We start from the raw sequence: 23,159 nt of genomic DNA, 5'->3' as shown, positions 1-23,159 counted from the left end.
CTAGTCTAGACTCCTCCAACACTTGATTTATTGGTAGGACCACACTGCTCCAGAGCTCAAAATGTTACCAGGAAAAATTTCAAGGTCCAGTTTGATCTTAGACAAGGCTCACAGGCCACCTGTCTTGAAAAGAATATCCTGTTGCCTCTGATGGGGGGGAAGAAAAGGCAGGGAGAGTCAGATTCCCATCCTTCATACCAAAGTTGGGGCTATATTTAGCTTTGTCTCAAATCAAATTATGGGCTACCGAGTTGTGGAGAGGAACTCTGTCTACAGGCAGCTCACTGGATTCAAGAAATGATAGCACTAACTAGGTGAGCTGTGGGGTCTCAGAAGTGACGCTAGAAAATACGTTCATGTATTTTTAAAATAACTTTTTTCAAAAGTTTATAGCACATTCATTGTAAAAACATTTGAAAAATACAGAAAGTTATATAGATTACTCAGAATACCCAGGGATCTTCAATATTAAAAATGTGTTGCATTTTTTTCCCACTCTTTAAAAAATGCATCTTTTAATCCAAACACCAACTCTTTCTTACACACATGGGTATATTCTTGAGAAGAGAAATTTCCTTGTTGTTTTAAAAATTATACTTATTGTCAAAAGAACAATTTTTTTGCGTTAGATTTCAGAAGAAAAATATTCACCCATATAACCACTGCTACAGCACAAATGTTTAAATTTCTCCAAATTCCCTTTAGTCATTATCTATATATATTAAATATCTATTTACATAATTACGATTACAGCTTAGGTATATGTTTATATTCTCCTTCTTTCACTTAGTAAATATTTGTCCATGTTTTTAGGGAAAGTTCATAGTTATTATTCTAATGAGTGTACAATATTTTATAATATTAGTAGGACCATAGATTACTTAAAATATTCTACTATTGCATAGTTATGCTGTTTCTGATATTAGACTGTTATAAATAATGCCTTAATGAAGAGCTTTCTGCCTTTATCATTCTCCTTTTTTGAATTATGCTATGGTTGAATGTATGTATGCCTTCAAAATTCATACATTGGTACTTAACACCGAGTGTTATAGTACTACAGGGTGGGGCCTTTTAGGAATATGTCTTAGGAAGTGATAAGGCATGAACACTCCACTCTCATGAATGGGATTAGTGCTCTTAAAAAAGAGGTTGAAAGGATTGCTCTGGTCCCTTTTGTCCTCTGTCCCTCCAGCCATGTGAGGACACAGCATCTGTGGCAACAAGGAGCCATCTTGGGAGCAGAGAGCAAGCTCTTCCAGACACTGAATCTGCCAGCACCTTGATCTTGGTCCAGCCTTCAGAACTGTGAGAAATAAATTTCTATTATTTACAAATTACCCAGTCTAAGCTATTTTGCTATAGCAGCAGGAATGGACTAAAGGCGATTTTCCTGGGATAAAAGGACTTTCTAATTTTATTATCTTAGCCTCAAAAGCACTAGAAATTCTCCTTTTATTTTTTTTCTTATTTAATTTGTAAATAATTGGATAGTTATATTTTAGTTCTATATCTAGCTAGTATACTAATAATGTAACACCATCTCATTTTGCTTTACGTTTCTTAGAATACTAGCTAGTAAGGTCTTATTTCATATCCTTTCTTGGAAACCATATGTGTAGTAGCCAGTCTCATGAAATCCTTGTGTTGAGTCACTGTATTAGTCATCTTTTTGCTGAAACAATGCTGCTCAACAAAGAACTCCCCAATCTCAGTATTATACAACACACATCCATTTCTCCCTCAAGGATCTATAGTTTAGGTATGGATTGGTTTAAGTCTGTCATTTTCATGGCAGAGTGCAGGAGTGCAAGAGAGTTGGCAGAGACTCATGATGACTGGTCTCTGCTCAGAACTGGCACAGTCTCGCTTCTGCCATTTTCCGTTCACCAAAGTAAGTAACATGGCCAAGTCCAAAGTCATTGGTGCAGAAAAGTACAGTCTGCCCACAGAGTGCAGGAGGGGAGAGTAATATTTGTGGAACAATAATGCAATCCACCAGTCACTGTATGTGCTGCTTTCTTGCTTTTTGTTAAGCTTTTCTCCTTGTAGATACATGGTAACTTTATTCTTCCTCATCCCATTTTAACTTAGCTATGACTTTTGAACAGTGAAATGTAACTTGTTTCGTTGGCTGAAACGTGAGAGGAAGTCTCATGTGGTCACTTCTGGGAAGAACGCAGACATTTTTAAGAGCTAGTACATAATTGGCCCTTTTCAGTTTCCGCTGTTTTATTGATCCTTGAAGATCAATAAGATGAAGCTTTCATCAACCTAAGTCCCTGAGTTACTGTGATGGTCAGAGCCTTCCTGCTAACCCTAATTGAACATGTAGAATGAGCAAGAAATTCATTTTTGTTGTATTAAGTTACTGAGATTTGGAGATTATTTATTACTGGAGCATAATCTAGCCTATCCTAACACATTGCTTTTTATTTCCATTTTGCAACCAAGTATCGTTATGTGTGTGTCTGCTCTCAGTTTTCTGGCTTAGAACTCAAATAACCGGCCGGGCGCGGTGGCTCACGCCTGTAATCCCAGCACTTTGGGAGGCCGAGGCGGGCGGATCACGAGGTCAGCAGATCGAGACCATCCTGGCTAACACGGTGAAACCCCGTCTCTACTAAAAATACAAAAAATTAGCCGGGCGAGGTGGCGGGCGCCTATAGTCCCAACTACACGGGAGGTTGAGGCAGGAGAATGGCGTGAACCTGGGAGGCGGAGCCTGCAGCGAGCCGAGATCGCGCCACTGCACTCCAACCTGGGCGACAGCGAGATTCCGTCTCAAAAAAAAAAATAAATAAAAAGAACTCAAATAACCTGGGTAAATGATGTTGATAAATTAAACTATTCATTTTATTCTTTCCTGAGGGCACTGCTCTTAGTTTGGTCAACTGATTGTGCTTCAGGGAATACCTGAATTGATGATAAGGGACAAAAAATCGGAAGGTGTCACAGTCTTTACAGTCAGCTCCAAATATTCCAATGATACTTTTACCTTTCATTCAGTTTTTAAAATTCATTTTCCTTTTCTTCTCTCCAACTTGTTTCTGGGTAAAAAGGATTATTGATGTTGATATAGTTTACTGCATAATCTATACATCAATAATAAAAATAGCTATGTCTAATATATTTTTGCCAGATCCTCCTCTAACAATTGTGTGTATACTAACTCTTTTCATCCTCGCAGCAGTCTTTTGAGGTAGGCTCTAGTTAATGCCCACTTTACAAATGACTAATGTGGAGCACAGGGAGGTAAATTATACTGCCCACATTCACAAAGCTGATTGATGGCAAAGCTGAGATTTGAAACCAATCAGTTTTGTTTCAGAATGGCCTGCCTAACCATTTTGCGTACTGCTTCCCTAATTTTGACACGTAACATTGGCTGGGACTTAGATAGGAGGACAATATGTCTGCAACATCTGTCACTTCAGTGATCCCTGTGATCACCTGGTTAGTCAGAACATGATGTCTTCTTGATCCATCACAGCTCCATGTCTGTCTCTCTAACCTTGGGCTTAAAAAACAAATGCCCTTTCCAGACAAAGAGGCATCATTCTGAGATCAAGGATACAGTGTCTGTAGTAGATTAAAGATGACCACAAATTACTTGCTACTTCTCCCATTGAGAGGTGGAATCTAATTCTCCTCCCTTTAATATGGGCTACCCTTAGAGACTTACTTGACTAATAGAATACAGCAGAAGAGATGTCTGACTGGCCAGGCTAGGTAAGTAAGAAGCCTTGTAGCTTCCATGTGAGACTCTTGGGACATGTCTTCTAAGGCCTAAGCTGCTGGATAAGTCAAACTACCATGCTAGATAAACCACGTGCAGAGGCCATGAGACCACATGACAAGGGGAGGGGCCTAGCTGAGCACAACGACCAGCAGTTCCCATCAGGGTGCCAGGCATTATGTGTGAAGCAGTCTCCCATCAGCTGGACACAACTGAGCAACCCTAACTGTGGCCACTATGGAATAAATTTGCCCTGCTGAACCATGCTAGAATTATTGATTACCAAAATGATGAGATACAATAAATTGCTTATTGTGCTAAGTTTTGGAGTAGTTTACTAAGTAACAATAGATAACTGGAACTAAATTTGGTATCTGAAAGTGGACTTTCACTATAACGAAAACTGAAAACAAATGGCAATGACTTTGTACCTGGTTGCCACAGAAGTTAGAAAGGCCTCGAGAAAAATGTTAGTGAATATTGGAAGGACATCGAGGAGACTGCTGGAGAGACTGAAGGACAGTAAAGAAAATACTATGGGGGGTGGCTGAAGAAATGACCTGTGTTATGTAGTGGCAGAAAGTTTTCGTCTTTGATAATGTGGGAAAATAGAAAAGGTGCCCAATGAATGGGAGGATCTGGCTAAGGAGATTTTCAGCAGAATTTCAAAACTACAAAGAGGTTTCTTTTAGCCACATTATTATAAGATATTGATTAAAAAAAAAAAGAAAAAAAAGTGGGCTAAAAAAGGAGCCATTTGGTTTTTAAGCAGAATTTAGAGGAATTATAAAGAGGCAGGACTTGCTGGGTTCAGAAGAGATCGGGTGCATTCAGGGTGGCATGGCCGTAGACTTTGCTGGGTTCAAACATCAAACTGCTTCTCATCCTCAATCTCTCTAGACAGGGAAAGCTTTCAAAATAAGAAATGGCTTCAGGGCAAAAATAAATTCCAAGATGTGACAGCTAGACCCATGATTAAGACCTCAATTAAGGTGGTGCCTCATATATCCTTTCAGTTAAACAAAAAGCCTTCTACAATCTTGGGCAATGTACCTCTCCATTGGACAAAAGAGTTTCTAAGAATTTTAAGGTTCTGTTATCCCATGTCAGACTCACAGTTAGTCCAAGCAAGGTGAAAAAGCTGGCTTCAGAATGAAATGTGGGTGTGGCTTTTGCCTAGTAAAGTTCGTTATCAATTAGTATATAAGACGCCTTAACATTTTTAAGTGAATTATACCAGCATGGACTGACTGAAAAGGATGAAGAGAGTACAAAGTGAAAAGATGCCTTTGGACCCTCAACCTGCCTCAGAGAAGCAGGCTGAGAAAGTTACCCAGCCAAAAACAAGGATTACTTCTTAGGGAAAAAGAAGAACGGCTCAAAGAATGGAACCAAGAGCCCAGAGGACTGATGGATAGCCAGAGGGAATCATTCCCAGGAGCAGGACTGGGCCCTAATCAAGGAACTGGTAATATGTACTCAGCTAGATTTCAAAATTGCTGTGGACTACTGACCGCTGTATGCCTGTGTTCTCTGACTCTTCGAATGGGAGTGCCTATTATGGTTATCCTATCTCTGTCCCATTGTTTCTTGGGTGTGAGAGCCCCAGTGACTTCAGATCAAGGGGAACTATACTCAAGGAGCTGAGTGCCAGGAGCCTCATGATCACCTGAATTTGAGTTAGATGGTGAGAAAGTGGACTTCTAGGCTGATGCAGTAAATGTCAGGAAACTTTTGAGGGCTTTAGGAGAGTGTGAGTTTATTTTGCTTGTGGTAATAATGTCTGTGGCCAGAGGAAAAGGAATGTGGTAGATTCAAGATGGCTACAAATTTTTTGCTACTTCTCTTATTCAGAGGTAGAATCTAATTCCCCTCTCTTGGATCTAAGCTGGTCTTCATGACTTGCTTGACCAATAGAATGCAGTTCTAGGCCATAAACTCCTGAACCTGGGCAATAAGAAACCTTGCAGTTTCCAGTAGGCCTCTTGATATACTGAGCTGCCATGAAAGAAATCTGACTACCTTGCTGGAGCTATAGAGAGGAGAGGTCTTGAGGCCACCAGCAGTCCTCAAAGGCATCAGGCACACAATATAAGTGAAGTTACCTGGGACCTCCAGAGCAGCCCTGCCTTCCACTGAATACCAGCAAGTGACCCAGTCAATACTGCATGGGGAAAACAAATTGCTCAGCTGAGACCTGTCCAAATTACTGACCCACAAAATCATAAGATACAATAAAATGGTTGTTTTGAGCTACTGAATTGTGGGGTAGATTGTTTATGCAGGAATAGACAACTGAGACCATGCCTTAAAATGGACACAGTATTTTTGATGCATTATCTCATTCATTCATCCAATAAATAATTACTGTGAACCATTATGTGTCAGGCACTACTCTTTATTCTAGAGACACAGTAGTTTAAAAAAAGGCCAGCAAAGACCCTGTTTTCATGGAGCTTACAATCTACTGGTTTAGATAGATAATAAGTAAAGGAATAACTACAATATGCCAGATGGTGATAAGGGCGATAAAGATAAGTGAAGCATGTCAAGGGAGCATCCCAGCAAGACAACCCTCTTTTTATAGAAGAGAAAACAGAGTCTTAGAAAGATTAAATAATAGGCAGTAAGAGAAGCAAGTTCCTAGGTACAATGAAACTGGAGTTTCACTTGATGAAACACTGTTCAATAGAATTTATAAATTCAAATTGTTGTTTAGCACAACAGAGGAACCTAATAGGCAGAAGTGTGGCTTGGATGGATGTTCCTGACTACCCAGGCTGTCCAAGTAAACTGTTGTATATACAAGAATGAAAAGATCTGAGGTGGAGCCAAGGTGGCCAAATAGGAACAGCTCCAGTCTAGAGCTCCCAGCGTGAGCGATGCAGAAGACGGGTGATTTCTGCCTTGCCAACTGAGGTACTGGGGAGTGTCAGAAAGTGGGTACAGGACAGTGGGTGCACTGCACCCAGCATGAGCCAAAGGAGGGCGAAGCATCACCTCACCCGGGAGGCACAAGGGGTCAGGGAATTCCCTTTCCTAGTCAAAGAAAGGGGTGACAGACGGCACCTGGAAAATCGGGTCACTGCCACCCTAATACTGCACTTTTCCAACAGTCTTAGCAAACGGCACACCAGGAGATTATATCCCGTGCATGGCTCGGGGGGGTCCTACGCCCATAGAGCCTCCCTCATTGCTGGCACAGCAGACTGAGATCGAACTGCAAGGCGGCAGCGAGGCTGGGGGAGGGGCACCTGCCATTGCCGAGGCTGGAGTAGGTAAACAAAGCAGCCCAGAAGCTCGAACTGGGTGGAGCCCACTGCAGCTCAAGGAGGCCTGCCTGCCTCTGTAGACTGCACCTCTGGGGGCAGGGAATAGTCAAACAAAAGGCAGCAGAATCCTCTGCAGACTTAAATGTCCCTGTCTGACAGCTTTGAAGAGAGTAGTGGTTCTCCCAGCACACAGCTTGAGATCTGAGAATGGACAGACTGCCTCCTTAGGTTGGTCCCTGACCCCCAAGTAGCCTAACTGGGAGGCCCCCCCCAAGTAGGGGCAGACAGACACCTCACATGGCCGGGAACTCCTCTGAGACAAAACTTCCAGAGGAACGATCAGACAGCAACATCTGCTGCTCACCAGTATCTGCTGTTCTGCAGCCTCCGCTGCTGATACCCTGGCAAACAGGGTCTGGAGTGACCTCAAGCAAACTCCAACAGACCTGCAGCTGAGGGTCCTGACTGTTAGAAGGAAGACTAACAAATAGAAAGGACATCCACACCAAAACCCCATCTGTACATCGCCATCATCAAAGACCAAAGGTAGATAAAACCACAAAGATGGGGAAAAATAGAGCAGAAAAACTGGAAACTCTAAAAATCAGAGTGCCTTTCCTCCTCCAAAGGAACGCAGCTCCTCCCCAGCAATGGAACAAAGCTGGATGGAGAATGACTTTGACAAGTTGAGGGAAGAAGGCTTCAGACAATCAAACTACTCCGAGCTAAAGGAGGAAGTTCGAACCCATGGCAAAGAAGTTAAAAACCTTGAAAAAAAATTAGACCAATGGCTAACTAGAATAACCAATACAGAGAAGTCCTTAAAGGACCTGATGGAGCTGAAAACCAAGGCACGAGAACTACGTGACAAATGCACAAGCCTCAGTAGCCGATTCGATCAACTGGAAGAAAGGGTATCAGTGATGGAAGATGAAATGAATGAAATGAAGCAAGAAGAGAAGTTTAAAGAAAAAAGAATAAAACGAAATGAACAAAGCCTTCAAGAAATATGGGGCTATGTGAAAAGACCAAATCTACGTCTGATTGGTGTACCTGAAAGTGACAGGGAGAATGGAACCAAGTTGGAAAACACTCTGCAGGATAATAACCAGGAGAACCTCCCCAATCTAGCAAGGCAGGCCAACATTCAAATTCAGGAAATACAGAGAATGCCACAAAGATACTCCTTGAGAAGAGCAACTCCAAGACAAATAATTGTCAGATTCACCGAAGTTGAAATGAAGGAAAAAATGTTAAGGGCAGCCAGAGAGAAAGGTCGGGTTACCCTCAAAGGGAAGCCCATCAGACTAACAGCGGATCTCTTGGCAGAAACTCTACAAGCCAGAAGAGAGTGGGGGCTAATATTCAACATTCTTAAAGAAAAGAATTTTCAACCAGAATTTCATATCCAGCCAAATGAAGCTTCATAAGTGAAGGAGAAATAAAATACTTTACAGACAAGCAAATGCGGAGAGATTTTGTCACCACCAGGCCTGCCCTAAAAGAGCTCCTGAAGGAAGCACTAAACATGGAAAGGAACAACCGGTACCAGCCACTGCAAAAACATGCCAAATTGTAAAGACCATCAAGGCTAGGAAGAAACTGCAGCAACTAACAAGCAAAATAACCAGCTAACATCATAATGACAGGATCAAATTCAAACATAACAATATTAACCTTAAATGTAAGCGGGCTAAATGCTCCAAGTAAAAGACACAGAATGGCAAATTGGATAAAGAGTCAAGACCCATCAGTGTGCTGTATTCAGGAAACCCATCTCACATGCAGAGACACACATAGGCTCAAAATAAAGCGATGGAGGAAGATCTACCAAGCAAATGGAAAACAAAAAAAGGCAGGGGTTGCAATCCTAGTCTCTGATAAAACAGACTTTAAACCAACAAAGATCAAAAGAGACAAAGAAGGCCATTACATAATGGTAAAGGGATCAATTCAACAAGAAGAGCTAACTATCCTAAATATATATGCACCCAATACAGGAGCACCCAGATTGATAAAGCAAGTCCTTAGAGACCTAGAAAGAGACTTAGACTCCCACACATTAATAATGGGAGACTTTAACACCCCACTGTCAACAGTAGACAGATCAACGAGACAGAAAGTCAACAAGGATATCCAGGAATTGAACTCACCTCTGCACCAAGTGGACCTAATAGACATCTACAGAACTCTCCATCACAAATCAACAGAATATACATTCTTCTCAGCACCACACCGCACTTATTCCAAAATTGACCACATAGTTGGAAGTAAAGCACTCCTCAGCAAATGTAAAAGAACAGAAATTATAATAAACTGTCTCTCAGACCACAGTGCAATCAAACTAGAACTCAGGATTAAGAAACTCACTCAAAACCGCTCAACTACATGGAAACTGAATAACCTGCTCCTGAATGACTACTGGGTACATAATGAAATGAAGACAGAAATGAAGATGTTCTTTGAAACCAACGAGAACAAAGACACAATGTACCAGAATCTCTGGGACACATTCAAAGCAGTGTGTAGAGGAAAATTTATAGCACTAAATGCCCACAAGAGAAAGCAGGAAAGATCTAAAATTGACACCCTAACATCACAATTAAAAGAACTAGAGAAGCAAGAGCAAACACATTCAAAAGCTAGCAGAAGGCAAGAAATAACTAAGATCAGAGCAGAACTGAAGGAAATAGAGACACAAAAAACCCTTCAAAAAATCAATGAATCCAGGAGCTGGTTTTTTGAAAAGATCAACAAAATTGATAGACCGCTAGCAAGACTAATACAGAAGAAAAGAGAGAAGAATCAAATAGATGCAATAAAAAATGATAAAGGGGATATCACCACCGATCCCACAGAAATACAAACTAACATCAGAGAATACTATAAACACCTCTACGCAAATAAACTAGAAAATCTAGAAGAAATGGATAAATTCCTCGACACATGAACCCTCCCAAGACTAAACCAGGAAGAAGTTGAATCTCTGAATATACCAATAACAGGCTCTGAAATTGAGGCAATAATTAACAGCTTACCAACCAAAAAAAGTCCAGGAACAGATGGATTCACAGCCGAATTCTATCAGAGGTACAAGGAAGAGCTGGTACCATTCCTTCTGAAACTATTCCGATCAATAGAAAAAGAGGGAATCCTCTCTAACTTATTTTATGAGGCCAGCATCATCCTGATACCAAAGCCTGGCAGAGATACAACAAAAAAAAGAGAATTTTAGACCAATATCCCTGATGAACATCGATGCAAAAATCCTCAATAAAATACTGGCAAACCGAATCCAGCAGCACATCAAAAAGCTTATCCACCATGATCAAGTGGGCTTCATCCCTGGGATGCAAAGGCTGGTTCAACATATGCAAATCAATAAACGTAATCAGCATATAAACAGAACCAGTGACAAAAACCATATGATTATCTCAATAGATGCAGAAAGGCCTTTGACAAAATTCAACAACGCTTCATGCTAAAAACTATCAATAAATTAGTTATGGATGAGACATATCTCAAAATAATAAGAGCTATCTATGACAAACCCACAGGCAATATCATACTGAATGGGCAAAAACTGGAAGCATTCTCTTTGAAAACTGGCACAAGACAGGGATGCCCTCTCTCACCACTCCTATTCAACATAGTGTTGGAAGCTCTGGCCAGGGCAATCAGGCAGGAGAAGGAAATAAAGGGCATTTAATTAGGAAAAGAGGAAGTCAAATTGTCCCTGTTTGCAGATGACATGATTGTATAGCTAGAAAACCCCATCATCTCAGCCCAAAATCTCCTTAAGCTGATTGGCAACTTCAGCAAAGTCTCATGATACAAAATCAATGTGCAAAAATCACAAGCATTCTTATACACCAGTAAAAGACAAACAGCCAAATCATGAGTGAACTCCCATTCACAATTGCTTCAAAGAGAATAAAATACCTAGGAATCCAACTTACAAGGGATGTGAAGGACCTCTTCAAGGAGAACTGCAAACCACTGCTCAATGAAATAAAAGAGGATACAAAGAAATGGAAGAACATTCCATGCTCATGGACAGGAAGAATCAATATCGTGAAAATGGCCATGCTGCCCAAGGTAATTTATAGATTCAATGCCATCCCCATCAAGCTACCAATGACTTTCTTCACAGAATTGGAAAAAACTACTTTAAAGTTCATATGGAACCAAAAAAGAACCCGCATTGCCAAGTCAATCCTAAGCCAAAAGAACAAAGCTGGAGGCATCACGCTACCTGACTTCAAACTATACTACAAGGCTACAGTAACCAAAACAGCATGGTACTGGTACCAAAACAGAGATTTTTGGTAAACAAAACAGACCAATGGAACAGAACAGAGCCCTCAGAAATAATGCCACATATCTATAACCATCTGATCTTTGACAAACCTGATAAAAACAAGCAATGGGGAAATGATTCCCTATTTAATACACGGTGCTGGGAAAACTGGCTAGCCATATGTAGAAAGCTGAAACTAGATCCCTTCCTTACACCTTATACAAGAACTAATTCGAGATGTATTAAAGACTTAAATGTTAGACCTGAAACCATAAAAACCCTAGAAGAAAACCTAGGCAATACCATTCAGGACATAGGCATGGGCAAGGACTTCATGTCTAAAACACCAAAAGCAATGGCAAGGAAAGCCAAAATTGACAAATGGGATCTAATTAAACTAAAGAGCTTCTGCACAGCAAAGAAAACTACCATCAGAGTGAACAGGCCCTACAGAATGGGAGAAAATTTTTGCAATCTACTTATCTGACAAAGGGCTAATATCCAGAATCTACAATGAACTCAAACAAATTTACAAGAAAAAAACAAACAACCCCATCAACAAGTGGGCGAAGGATATGAGCAGACACTTCTCAAAAGAAGACATTTATGCAGCCAACAGACACAGGAAAAAAGGCTCATCATCACCGGCCATCAGAGAAATGCAAATCAAAACCACAATGAGATACCATCTCACACCAGTTAGAATGGCGATCATTAAAAAGTCAGGAAAAAACAGGTGCTGGAGAGGATGTGGAGAAATAGGAACACTTTTACATTGTTGGGACTGTAAACTAGTTCAACCATTGTGGAAGTCAGTGTGGTGATTCCTCAGGGATCTAGAACTAGAAATACCATTTGACCCAGCAATCCCATTACTGGGTATATACCCAAAGGATTATAAATCGTGCTGCTATAAAGACACATGCACACGTATGTTTATTGAGGGACTATTCACAATAGCAAAGACTTGGAACCAAGCCAAATGTCCATCAATAATAGACTGGATTAAGAAAATGTGGCACATATACACCATGGAATACTAGGCAGCCATAAAAAATGATAAGTTCATGTCCTTTGTAGGGACATGGATGAAGCTGGAAACCATCATTCTCAGCAAACTATCACAAGGACAAAAAAACCAAATACCGCATGTTCTCACTCATAGGTGGGAATTGAACAATGAGAACACATAGACACAGGAAGGGGAACATCACACACTGGGGCCTGTTTGGGGTGGGGGGGCGGGGGAGGGATAGCATTAGGAGATATACCTAATGTAAATAACGAGTTAATGGGTGCAGCTCACCAGCATGGCACATGTATACATATGTAACTAACCTGCATGTTGTGCACATGTACCCTAGAACTTAAAGTATAAAAAAAAAAAAAAAAGAATGAAAAGATCTGCCCTTCAGTAGCTGGAGTGGAATGGGGCAGGAGGGTTTGGAGGAGGATGTGTGGCTCTGAAGACTATACATAGTAGGCAAAGTGCCAGCTGTGACTCGGAACAACCAAAATCAGGACCAGGAGCAGTTTAGAAGAGAAAATAATTCTTGGAAAAAGCAGAAGTATTTGTGGGGTACAGGGGAATTTGTAAGGGACTTAATTTCCTAAGTGAACAGGTAGGAGTTCAGAGGCAGCTAATGCTCATGGGACTTAATTTTATTTCCACAGTTGGTAAAACTCAAGGACAGTGTGGTTACCTTCATTCATTTAATTAAACAAACACAGAGCATGTGCTAGGCATTGCTAAAATCTAGTGTAGAAATCCAGTGTTAAAATCTAGTGTGGAAAGCCAGGCAAGCATTCATCAAACCATAATACAAACCAGATCGGGTAAAGTGCTACACCAAGCAGAACATGAAGGAGGGAGTGATTAATTAAATTCCACCAGAAAAGTTTTTCTAAAGAAGGTAGCATCTGAGTAGAGTACTGAAGTATGCTAGCAATATAAAATTTTATCATACATTGGGATTGCAAAATACAGTGCTTTTATTTAAAATTAAAAAATATTATTAGCTTGTTTTCATCATTCCACAGTATACGCATATATCAAAACATTGTACCCCATAAATATATGCAATTACTATTTGTCAATTAAAAAATTAACTTAAAAACAGTATTGATGAAAACAATTTTATTTTTCTCTGGTAGAAGGAAAAATATTCCCGGTCTCCTGTGAGTGAGTGCCTAAGGTCCCATTCATCTGAAAGAGCGGTGCAGCGCAGCTGAGGTTGCTGGCAGGCATTACAACAGAGCAGTTAAGATTACTGGCTCTACAGTCAGGGACATGGGTTCCAATCCTCCTCCTCTGTCAATTTCCAACCATGCAATTTTGGACATGACTTAAACTCTGTGCTTTAGCTTCCTCATTTGTAAAACAAGGTTAATGATAATAACTACCTAATAGGGCCACTGTAAGAACAAAATGAGCTAATATATGAAAAGTTTTTAATTCATTGTCTAGCACATTTTAAGCATTCTATAAATCATAGCTATTTTTCATTAATGTTTGCATACTAGGCAGGACTCCAATACTGTGTAGAAGTCATGAATTTTAATTTCAGTTCTGCTCCAAAGTGCTCCCTAGGGCTAGGCCAGTGACCCAGATTTTCCATTTCTCATCTTTCTGATTTATCATGTGAGACCAAAGCATTGGCAAGGAAGCTGAATAAGTGGATTTCCTCACTTGCTGGCTGGAGGTCTAGGGAGCAGAAAAGGTGGACATTTCCCCCATCTTGTATCTGTCTTGAGGAAGTGTGTGTGTGTGAGTGTGTGTGTGTGTGTGTGTGTGTGTGTGTTTATGCAGGAATAGACAACTGGGACAATGCCTTAAAATGTACACAGTATTTCTGATGCATTATCTCATTCATTCGTTCATTCATTCATTCATTCAATAAATAATTACTGTGAACCGTGTGTGTGTGTTTATTCAGATCCATCCCTTTCAATGGTTAGCCTTGTCTGTCAGCCATAACAAAAACCTCAAACCTCAAGGAAAGAAATTACAACCAAGCCTTCAGACAGCTGATGGTAATTTACTCACACAATCCCCTTTATCCTTTCAACACCCACTATTTATCTGTATCTGACGTTGGGAGAGGGGAAATCATGCAAGAAATATGGTATGTAAATTTCTGGAAAGGGGGTTGGAATAGTGAGGGAAGACTTGTGTGAATTACATGAATAATTCTCCTTGATTTGAACATAGATATCAGTTCTCAAAAATTGAAGGGACTGATGTTAGGGTCAATAAATACATTTCTGGGACCAGAAACAATACTGGAATAAATTCATAAATAGCTTTCAAGGCATTCATGACAATCACACCATCACTAAAATCCGAGTCATTTTCCAGGATGGGGCAAGTAGTTCCAGTACAAGTCAAAGGAGCATGTGTCAATCAATCTAGACTGCTTTAAAAATCCATAGTGATAACAATAACTAAATGGAATGCATGATCCTAGTTCAGATCTTGGATTGGATTCTGAATTAGAAAAAAAAAATATTGCTGCCACGTTCAGTGGCTCATGCCTATAATTTCAACACTTCAGGAGGCTGAGGCAGGAGGATCACTTAAGGCCAGGAGTTCGAAACCAGCCTGTGCAACGTAGCGAGATCTTGTCTCTACAAAAAAAAATTTAAAAATTATCTAGGGATGGTAGTGCAAACCACTAGTTCCAGCTACTCTGGAGGCTGAGGTGGGAGGATCACTTGAGCCCAGGAGTTGAGCCTACAGTGAACTGTAATCACACCACTGCACTCCAGCCTGGGTGACAGTGAGCAAGACCCTGTCTCTTAAAAAAAAGAAAAAATACCTCTAAGGACAAGATAGCCATATATATCCATGGTCCTTGCCTTTGTTTCTTGTATCATGCCATCTACTAGCTGGTCCCTGAAGCCATATATAATAACTTTCACTCATACACACATATGAGTGAAAAGTAACACTGATTTTTTTAACTTTCCAGCTTGAAAAATTTAAAATTTTCAACATATAGTAAAGTTGTAAAACTAGCACAATAAAGTCCTGTAAATCTTTCAATTGCTTCATAGATTGTTAACATTTTGCCACATTTGTTTTCTCTCTTTACACACACACACACACACACACACAAGCACACAGACACAATCATTAGTATTATTTTGATGAACCATTTGAGAGTAAGATGTAGATTCTTCACCCCTAAATATTTAATGTGTATCTCCTAAGAATATTTAAAATCGTTGCATAACTGTATTATGTAAAAGAATATAACACCCTTGGCCGGGCATGGTGGCTCACGCCTATAATCCCAGCACTTTGGGAGGCCAAGGCGGGGGGATCACAAGGTCAGGAGATCGAGACCATCCTGGCTAACACGGTGAAACCCCATCTCTACTAAAAATACAAAAAATTAGCTGGACGTGGTGGCGGGTGCCTGTGGTCCCAGCTACTCGGGAGGCTGAGACAGGAGAATGGCGTGAATCCGGGAGGCAGAGCTTGCAGTGAGCTGAGATCGTCCCATTGCACTCCAGCCTGGGTGACAGAGTGAGACTCTGTCTCAAAAAAAAAAAAAAAAAAAAAAAAAAAAGAATATAACACCCTTTTCAGGTCAGCTTTTATCACTATTAAGCAGAACACTTTACATCATAATCTGAAGTCTCAGCAGTGAATTACTTAACTAAAATCAGGAGCTACCCTCTGCTAGATATTTGGCTCACATCTGTACAACCAAAAGTGCTGATCAAAATAATCACTCCCAGGACAAAGGCAAAATATACAACAAAGACAAATTCCCTCTTCTATGCACCAGCCAATTTCTTGGCAGTTTAGAACAGCTGTTTTGTCCTTTCTTCCAGCTGGCAAAGGTTCAAAAATATCAAGATACAGCCTCAGAAAGCTTCACACGAGGAAGAAATTTTAATGAGAAAAATCTCACGTTCTGTATTCGCTTTTGTTTTCATTTTTATTTTAGCATATAAAATGTCAAAATACTGAGCTGTTGAGTACCGTATCAAACATCTGGCAATTCTGGACAAAAGATGAGCAAAACTCAACAGTCCTTTATCTTTGCAAAGTTCAAGTGGCTTTAGGAGTTAATGCCATAGGGGTAGGGTGCCACGCCTCATGCCTGTAATCCCAGCACTGTCGGAGGTGAGGCAGGCAGATGGCTTGAGCACAGTAGTTCGAGACCAGCCTGGGCAACATGTGAAACCCATCTCTACAAAAAATACAACAAAAATTAGCCAGGCGTGCTGGTGCACATCTGTAGTCCCAGCTACTCAGGAGGCTGAGGTAGGAAAGTGGCTTGAGCCTGGGAGGCAGAGGTCACAGTGAGTGGAGACTGTGCTACTGCGCTCCAGCCTGGGTGAAAGAGCCAGACGCTGTCTCAAAAACCAAAACAAAACATTATATCAGTTTGGTAAAAGAACAAGCACATCCAACATTAACCATCACAATTCCTTTCGACCAGAATAATCTTTTATTCAGATAAAAGTATCCCAGTTTTAGGCTATGCGTGTGATATAATAATAACAGACAGAGAGGTACAGAAATACCCAAGCTGGCCCAGGCTCAGAGCTTGTGGTATACAGAAGAGAATTATTGCATCCTTTATTTGCTGGCTTCGGTACATTCTTAGGAGATAGAGGGAGGGAAAAAAAATCAAAACCAGAAGGGTCTGGTGCTGATGGACCAGATCAATTGGTTCAAACTTTGATTCAACTGTTAAGGTATTCAGGGCTGGAACTAGGATGAGAGGAGCAAGGCACTCACCTGAGGTGCGAAGTTTAAAGCGTGCCAAAATCTCGGTAATCAAGATAAATCATATTTTAATGCAATATTTTAGAAAAATAGTAACGCAAAAAAAATCCGCAATGAACAAAATATCAAAACTTTAAATAAAGACAGGATCTGACCCTGCATTTTCATGATTCAGGGAGTGTCTTACTTGCTTCGTCCTAGTCCAGGCCCAACTTGTTCATCCCCAGATGATGTGCCAAAAGCCACATCTTTAGGTGTCTCCTCTGGTGCTCTCTAGTGCTATGTTCTGCTGACCTTGTTGGCAACAGCTCTCTGTCTGTTATGAATGGTTGGACATCAGGTGGCACCTTTAAGATACCACAAGGTAAAAGCAACTCTCTGAGCCAAGGCCAGCTCTTCCAACCTCCTTCCAAACAGTCTTACGTCTCAAGGGCAAGTTTCTGTGATGTATAGGGCATCAGGGAGAGGGTAGAATGGGGTAGAAAGGGGAGATAATGGGAGAGGGAAAAAAGAACAGGTGACCTCATGAGTTGGCACTAATGTAACTAGAGTGCAATTTTTCAAGAGTCTATCTTTTTTAAGAAAACCTTGAGCCCCAACTCTTATTTGGAGGCACCTGCTCACTCACCTCCAAAACCAAATCCACCTCACCTCTATTCTTCTTTTCACATTGTGTACGGGTAGTTCTGGAAATCAAAGTGGCCATGCTGCTTCCTCCATGCAGCCTGTAGTGAATTCAAGTAGTGTAGGATACTTCAAACTGGAGCTTCTCTACTGTGAATAGCTGCTCATCCCCAAGTACCAAACCTAATTTTGTGACAATGAAAACCATCTGCAGGTGCCCCCTGCTGGTGGTACTATCCTAGAGACTTGCCTTCACTGATGTATTTTGTTTGGTCAATGGTCCAGAAAGTCACAGTCACAGTCACCAACACTATTCCCTATGCCCTTACACCTAAGCAGGTTCACTTATTTATGCTACCCGCCAGGCACCTGCAGGTGTGTGGCATTTGCATTTTCCTTCTATGGCTTCCTAGTTCCTCATGGTGGGAACCTGGGGCCCGACTTCTTGCCTCTCAAACTATTAATATGTCTGCCTCACAGGGCCAGGCACTTCTCTAGTCTTGAGTCACCCATGTCATTCTTTTAACCTACCCTCGGGTAGGACACTGGAGCCATAGATGTGAACCTTAGCCTTTAAGGCACGCAAGAAGACACTGAAGTCCCCAGGGCCAGTCACTGCCAGCAATGTCTTCCAGCGGTGGTTGAAGGGATGACTGAGGCAAGCAGAGTCTGAGTTTGTTATTGTTCTGAGGATATAGACAAAAATCTTTAATAAGGCTTACATAGCTTGGCATAGTCTTCAGCCTCAGCTCTGGTTATACTCCCCCTTCCCTTTTGTGCTTAGTTTGTACTAGTCTTGTTCCAGAAGAAGAAAGGGAGAACTAATTCTGCTGCTCCTCTGGTGTCCAGGAGCTCAGGTAATGGATGCAGACTGTAATAGGCAGTCTCTAAGTTGGTCCCCAGTGATCCCTGGTCATCAAACCCTTGTGTAATTCCCTCGCCTTGAGTCTGGGATGGATCTAGTACTCATTTGTAATGAATACAGTAGGGCAGCAGTGATGGAATGTTGCTTCCGAGATTAGATTATTTTTTAAAAAGCAAAAACAACTGTGGCTTCCATTTGGAGTATGCATGCTCTCTTTCTTTTAGATCAGTTGTGCTGTGGGAACTAAGCTACCATGTTATAAGCAGACCTATTGTGTGGACAGGAACTAAAGCCTGCCAAATACCGTGTGCGTGAGTCTGAAAACGGACCTTTCAGCCCCTGTCGAGTCTTGAGATGACAGCAGCCCCAGCTGAGTGCTTGACTGCAACCTCATGAGAGAACTTGAGGCAATTCTAACCAGCTAAGCTGCTCCCAGATTTCTGACCCTCCAAAACTGTGAGTACTAAATACTTGCAGTTTTCAGCCACTGAGGTGATTTGCTATGCAGCAATAGTAATAGTAACAAACACACAGACTTCTGAACCTTTCCCCAATCCAAGGTCATTCTGTGGAGTTAGAGACCCAGCTCTCCCATTCACAAAGAAGCTATTATTCTCTCTACAGTAAAGAAAGACAAAGAAGTCAGAGCAGTTTTTTAACGCTGCACATCAGGAAACTAGATGTATGCTGAAAATTTGGGAGTGATAAGTAGGACCTTTCCCAGTCTGTAGAATATACCACCAAAGCATGCTCACTCGAGAATGTGCTTTTGATTACTACCAAGCACACTTTTTTTTCTTTTTGAAGATATGTGCAAACAATGAAAACCCTTCTTGCTGAAATTACAATATAGCCGTACATTTTGGTTGAAATGTTTATTTGGAGATTTCAAAGTCAAGGTTGATATAGCCAAAAGATAATACAGATTAGACTATCATGGAAACAAAAAGAATCTAAAATTTGATATTGTTTGTACACTAGGGTCACTGCTCATGTTAACATTTCCTTCATTGCATCCACTTTCTCGGAGCTGGTGTTGTAGGGTTAGATGTGAGTGTGAATGAGCATGCGTACAGTGGACAAAATCCCCCCATTCTGTAAATGCGTGTGCCTATTATTCTGGGCAGTGAACCCAGCCTGCTTTAAGTCTTTGTTATTTGAATAGTGTCCCAGATTCTCCTTTGAAATGTGCGGTTCACCTATTTTTATTAACCTTAATATGGAGCTTTCTGATGCTTTTTTGATAGATTCTTGGTCGTGCCCAGGTACACTTCCTTTCGTTTTAAACAGGTCATATATTTCTCTGTGCTGGCCTTCAGGTGGTGTGCCATATAAATTAGAAAGCAAATTTTCACAAGGTCAAATTTTAATCATGCAGCTTAGTATTTTTAAACAGATGACATTTTCATACTTGGTATGCTAACTTGAAGACCAGACCATTTTTGCCCAAGTTCTACCAAAGGTTTTCGTTTTATAGTCTTCATTTGTTTTGTTTTGGTTTACTTTTTAACAAAAAGCAAACCTAGGAAAAAATTTTAAAAACATACAAGATGCACAAAAACAATTACTCTAATACACATGAAACAGAAAATCAACACCTGCCAATTAAACACAACTTCTACCATTTCATAACTGTGTGATCTTGTCAAATTACTTAACCTCTCTATAAAACGGGATCACGATAGCATCTTTCTCACAGAATTATAGTGAAAATTAAATAATATTATTCTTATGAAATGTTTAAGATCGGGCCTAGCATTTATCATTTACTCGATAAATATTAATCATGTAATTATATATGTAATTATGGTGATAATGATAATGTTGCTGCCATGAGATGTCAGGTTTCACAATATAAAATCATTACAGAATTCTGTTTGGAACTCCTGTGAGACCTAGTATGAATCACCTATAGTTATGAGGCTGCTCTAGCAAATAAATCTAAGAGAACAGGCAACTTCATGAAGAGGTTAAAGTGTCCTAGGGCAGTGGTCTCCAACCTTTTTGGTACCAGGAACCATTTTCAAGGAAGACAACTTTTCCATGGACAGGGTGGGGGATGGATTTGGAATGATCATCAGGTATTAGATCCTCGTAAGAAGCAGGCAACCTAGATCCCTCATATGCCCAGTTCACAATAGGGTTCCCGTTCCTATGAGAATTGAATGCAGCTGCTGGTCTGCTGATCGACAGGAGGTGGAGCTCAGGGGTAATGCTCGCTGGCCTGCCACTCACCTCCTGCTATGCAGCCGGGGTCCTAACAGGCCAGAACCAGTACCAGTCCATGCTCTGGGGGCTGGGGACCCCTGTTCTAGGGAAATACCATCACCATGTCTGCTACCCCTCCCACCGTGGGCGCTACCACCATTTGGTCACCATATGCAACCCTGTGTGAAGATATTCTTAATACTATCCAGGGTCCTTTTCATTTGAGTGACCTCTATCTCTTTGTCCCACCATCTAACTCCCACCCTCATAATGAGTGGGGAGAAAACCTCCACCAGGGTGAAGCAAAAAACCTCAAACAGAGGCTTCAAACAAAACTTAATATAAAGACTCCAACCATGAAGTTGTCTCTTTTTATCCCCCGGTTATCTTCTTTGTTGGTTTTGTTTTCGGGATCTGCAGGGTACCAAGTTATCTGCTAGAAGGCTCAGTCCTTCTCTTCTTACCAGCCCCACTGCTACCGCCATGATGTAAATCGCTATGATCTCACATTGGTGTTACTTACTGCAATAGCCAGCAAAGCAGCTCCCTTCCTTCCACTCTTGGCCTCCTAAGGTCTGTTTTCCAATAGCAAAGTGACTTTTTAACATTTTTCAGATCATATGATGTTCCTGTTTTAAATCTTTATTGGCTTCCCCATGTCCTTAGAATAACATCCACTTCTTACCACGGCCTATGAGGTCTCAGGTGACCTGGCTCAGGTTCACCTCTGCCCCCTCCTCTTATTTATTATGCTCCAGCTGCACTGGCCATTTTCTTCCTCAAACACACTAAGCTTATTTCTACCTTAGGGGTTTTGCAGTTCTTTCACCTCCTGCTTTAATTCCTCTCTAACGAAATTTTTTTAAAATAAACTTTATTAATATCAGAAATCCCTTTATTTGTATATTTATTTATTTGTTTTCTGTCTACGTCCTCACTGAGCCTTTATCCAATAATTTTGTTCCTCATTTTATTCTAGCACCTAGTATTGTGCCTGCCATTCCATATATACCTTTTGGAAAGATCAGTGAACAGACTCCAGCTATTTTTTAAAATAGGATTTACTGGAAGAGGAGACCCACAGAATCAAAGGAACAGTTGAAGACTCAAAAGAACAGGCTCAGAAGGGGCAGGAATAGGGAGGGGCAGGAACAGGGGAAGCAATTAGGATCTAGGTAGCAAGAAGGGGCCGATTGGTTCTGGCCACTTTTTGCTACTCTTATGTTGTTCCACTGATGATGCAATGCTCAAAAAATCAGATCATTGGGAGGCCGAGGCGGGCGGATCACGAGGTCAGGAGATCGAGACCATCCTGGCTAACACGGTGAAACCCCGTCTCTACTGAAAATACGAAAAATTAGCCGGGCGAGGTATTGGGTGCCTGTAATCCCAGTTACTCTGGAGGCTGAGGCAAGACAATGGCGTGAACCCCAGGGGGCGGAGCCTGCAGTGAGCCGAGATCGCCCCACTGCACTCCAGCCTGGGCAACAGCGAGACTCCGCCTCAAAAATAAATAAATAAATAAATAAATAAATAAATAAATAATCAGATCATCCTCGTGTGGGTCTCAAGATTATCATTTAGCTCGGGATACCTTAAACAAACTTCCCACCAAGACTATAAACCATGGCAAAGAAGACAATTCTAGCCACCCCCCCCCCAAAAAAAAAGTAGGGTTATTGTCCAAAGAAGGGAGGAATGGACACACCCACAGTCAAAAACCCAAAACAAAACAAAAGTCTGCAATAATCTCTGACTTGACATTTTGTCATCTAGAAGACAACTACTTTCTTTCTTTTTTTTTTTTTTTTTTTTTTTTTGAGATGGAGTTTCCAGGCTGGAGTGCAGTGGCGCGATCTGGCTCACTGCAACCTACGCCTCCTGGGTTCAAGTGATTCTCCTGCCTCAGCCTCCTGAGTAGCTGGGATTACAGGCGCCTGCCACCACGCCCGGCTAATTTTTTGTATTTTTAGTAGAGAGGGGGTTTCACCATTTTGGCCAGGCTGGTCTCAAACTCCTGACTTCAGGTGATCTGCCCCGCTAGGCCTCCCAAAGTGCTGGGATTACAGGCGTGAGCAACCGCGCACGGCCAACATCTACTTTCTTGCAGTATTAACTGATGTTTGTTTAAGAGATATAAACAGATTTCGGCCGAGCTCAGTGGCTCACACCTGTAATCCCAGCACTTTGGGAGGCCGAGGCGGGCGGATCATGAGGTCAGGAGATGGAGACCATCCTGGTTAACACGGTGAAACCCCATCTCTACTAAAAAATACAAAAAATTAGCCGGGTGTGGTGGCGGGCGCCTGTAGTCTCAGCTATTCGGGAGGCTGAGGCAGGAGAGTGGCGTGAACCCAGGAGGCGGAGCTTGCAGTGAGCCAGATCGCGCCGCTGCACGCCAGCCT

General features: G+C 41.4%; 1 protein-coding gene and 1 pseudogene across 15 annotated transcripts in view, besides 2 other annotated features; one reads left to right on the top strand and one right to left on the bottom strand.

The window, feature by feature from the left end:
* Nucleotides 1-23,159, bottom strand: part of PDE4DIP (phosphodiesterase 4D interacting protein) — a 224,583-nt gene that overhangs the window by 189,887 nt on the left and 11,537 nt on the right. The gene's annotated exons all lie outside the window — the stretch shown is intronic.
* On the top strand, nt 3,398-3,647 carry RN7SKP88 (RN7SK pseudogene 88; annotated as a pseudogene).
* Nucleotides 6,423-6,923: an enhancer, noted in NCBI's record as "H3K4me1 hESC enhancer chr1:145047676-145048176 (GRCh37/hg19 assembly coordinates)". NCBI's record gives its function as "activates a minimal SCP1, AML or CMV promoter by ChIP-STARR-seq in primed H9 embryonic stem cells {active_cell/tissue: H9 hESC(primed)}" and the evidence as "EXISTENCE:reporter gene assay evidence [ECO:0000049][PMID:30033119]".
* Nucleotides 17,571-18,113: an enhancer, noted in NCBI's record as "NANOG hESC enhancer chr1:145058822-145059364 (GRCh37/hg19 assembly coordinates)". NCBI's record gives its function as "activates a minimal SCP1, AML or CMV promoter by ChIP-STARR-seq in primed H9 embryonic stem cells {active_cell/tissue: H9 hESC(primed)}" and the evidence as "EXISTENCE:reporter gene assay evidence [ECO:0000049][PMID:30033119]".

This window comes from Homo sapiens, chromosome 1 (assembly GCF_000001405.40).
Source record: "Homo sapiens chromosome 1, GRCh38.p14 Primary Assembly".
Taxonomy (NCBI): domain Eukaryota; kingdom Metazoa; phylum Chordata; class Mammalia; order Primates; family Hominidae; genus Homo; species Homo sapiens.
The sequence above is the reverse complement of the archived record's forward strand: the minus strand, read 5'-3'. Positions and strand labels throughout refer to the sequence as shown.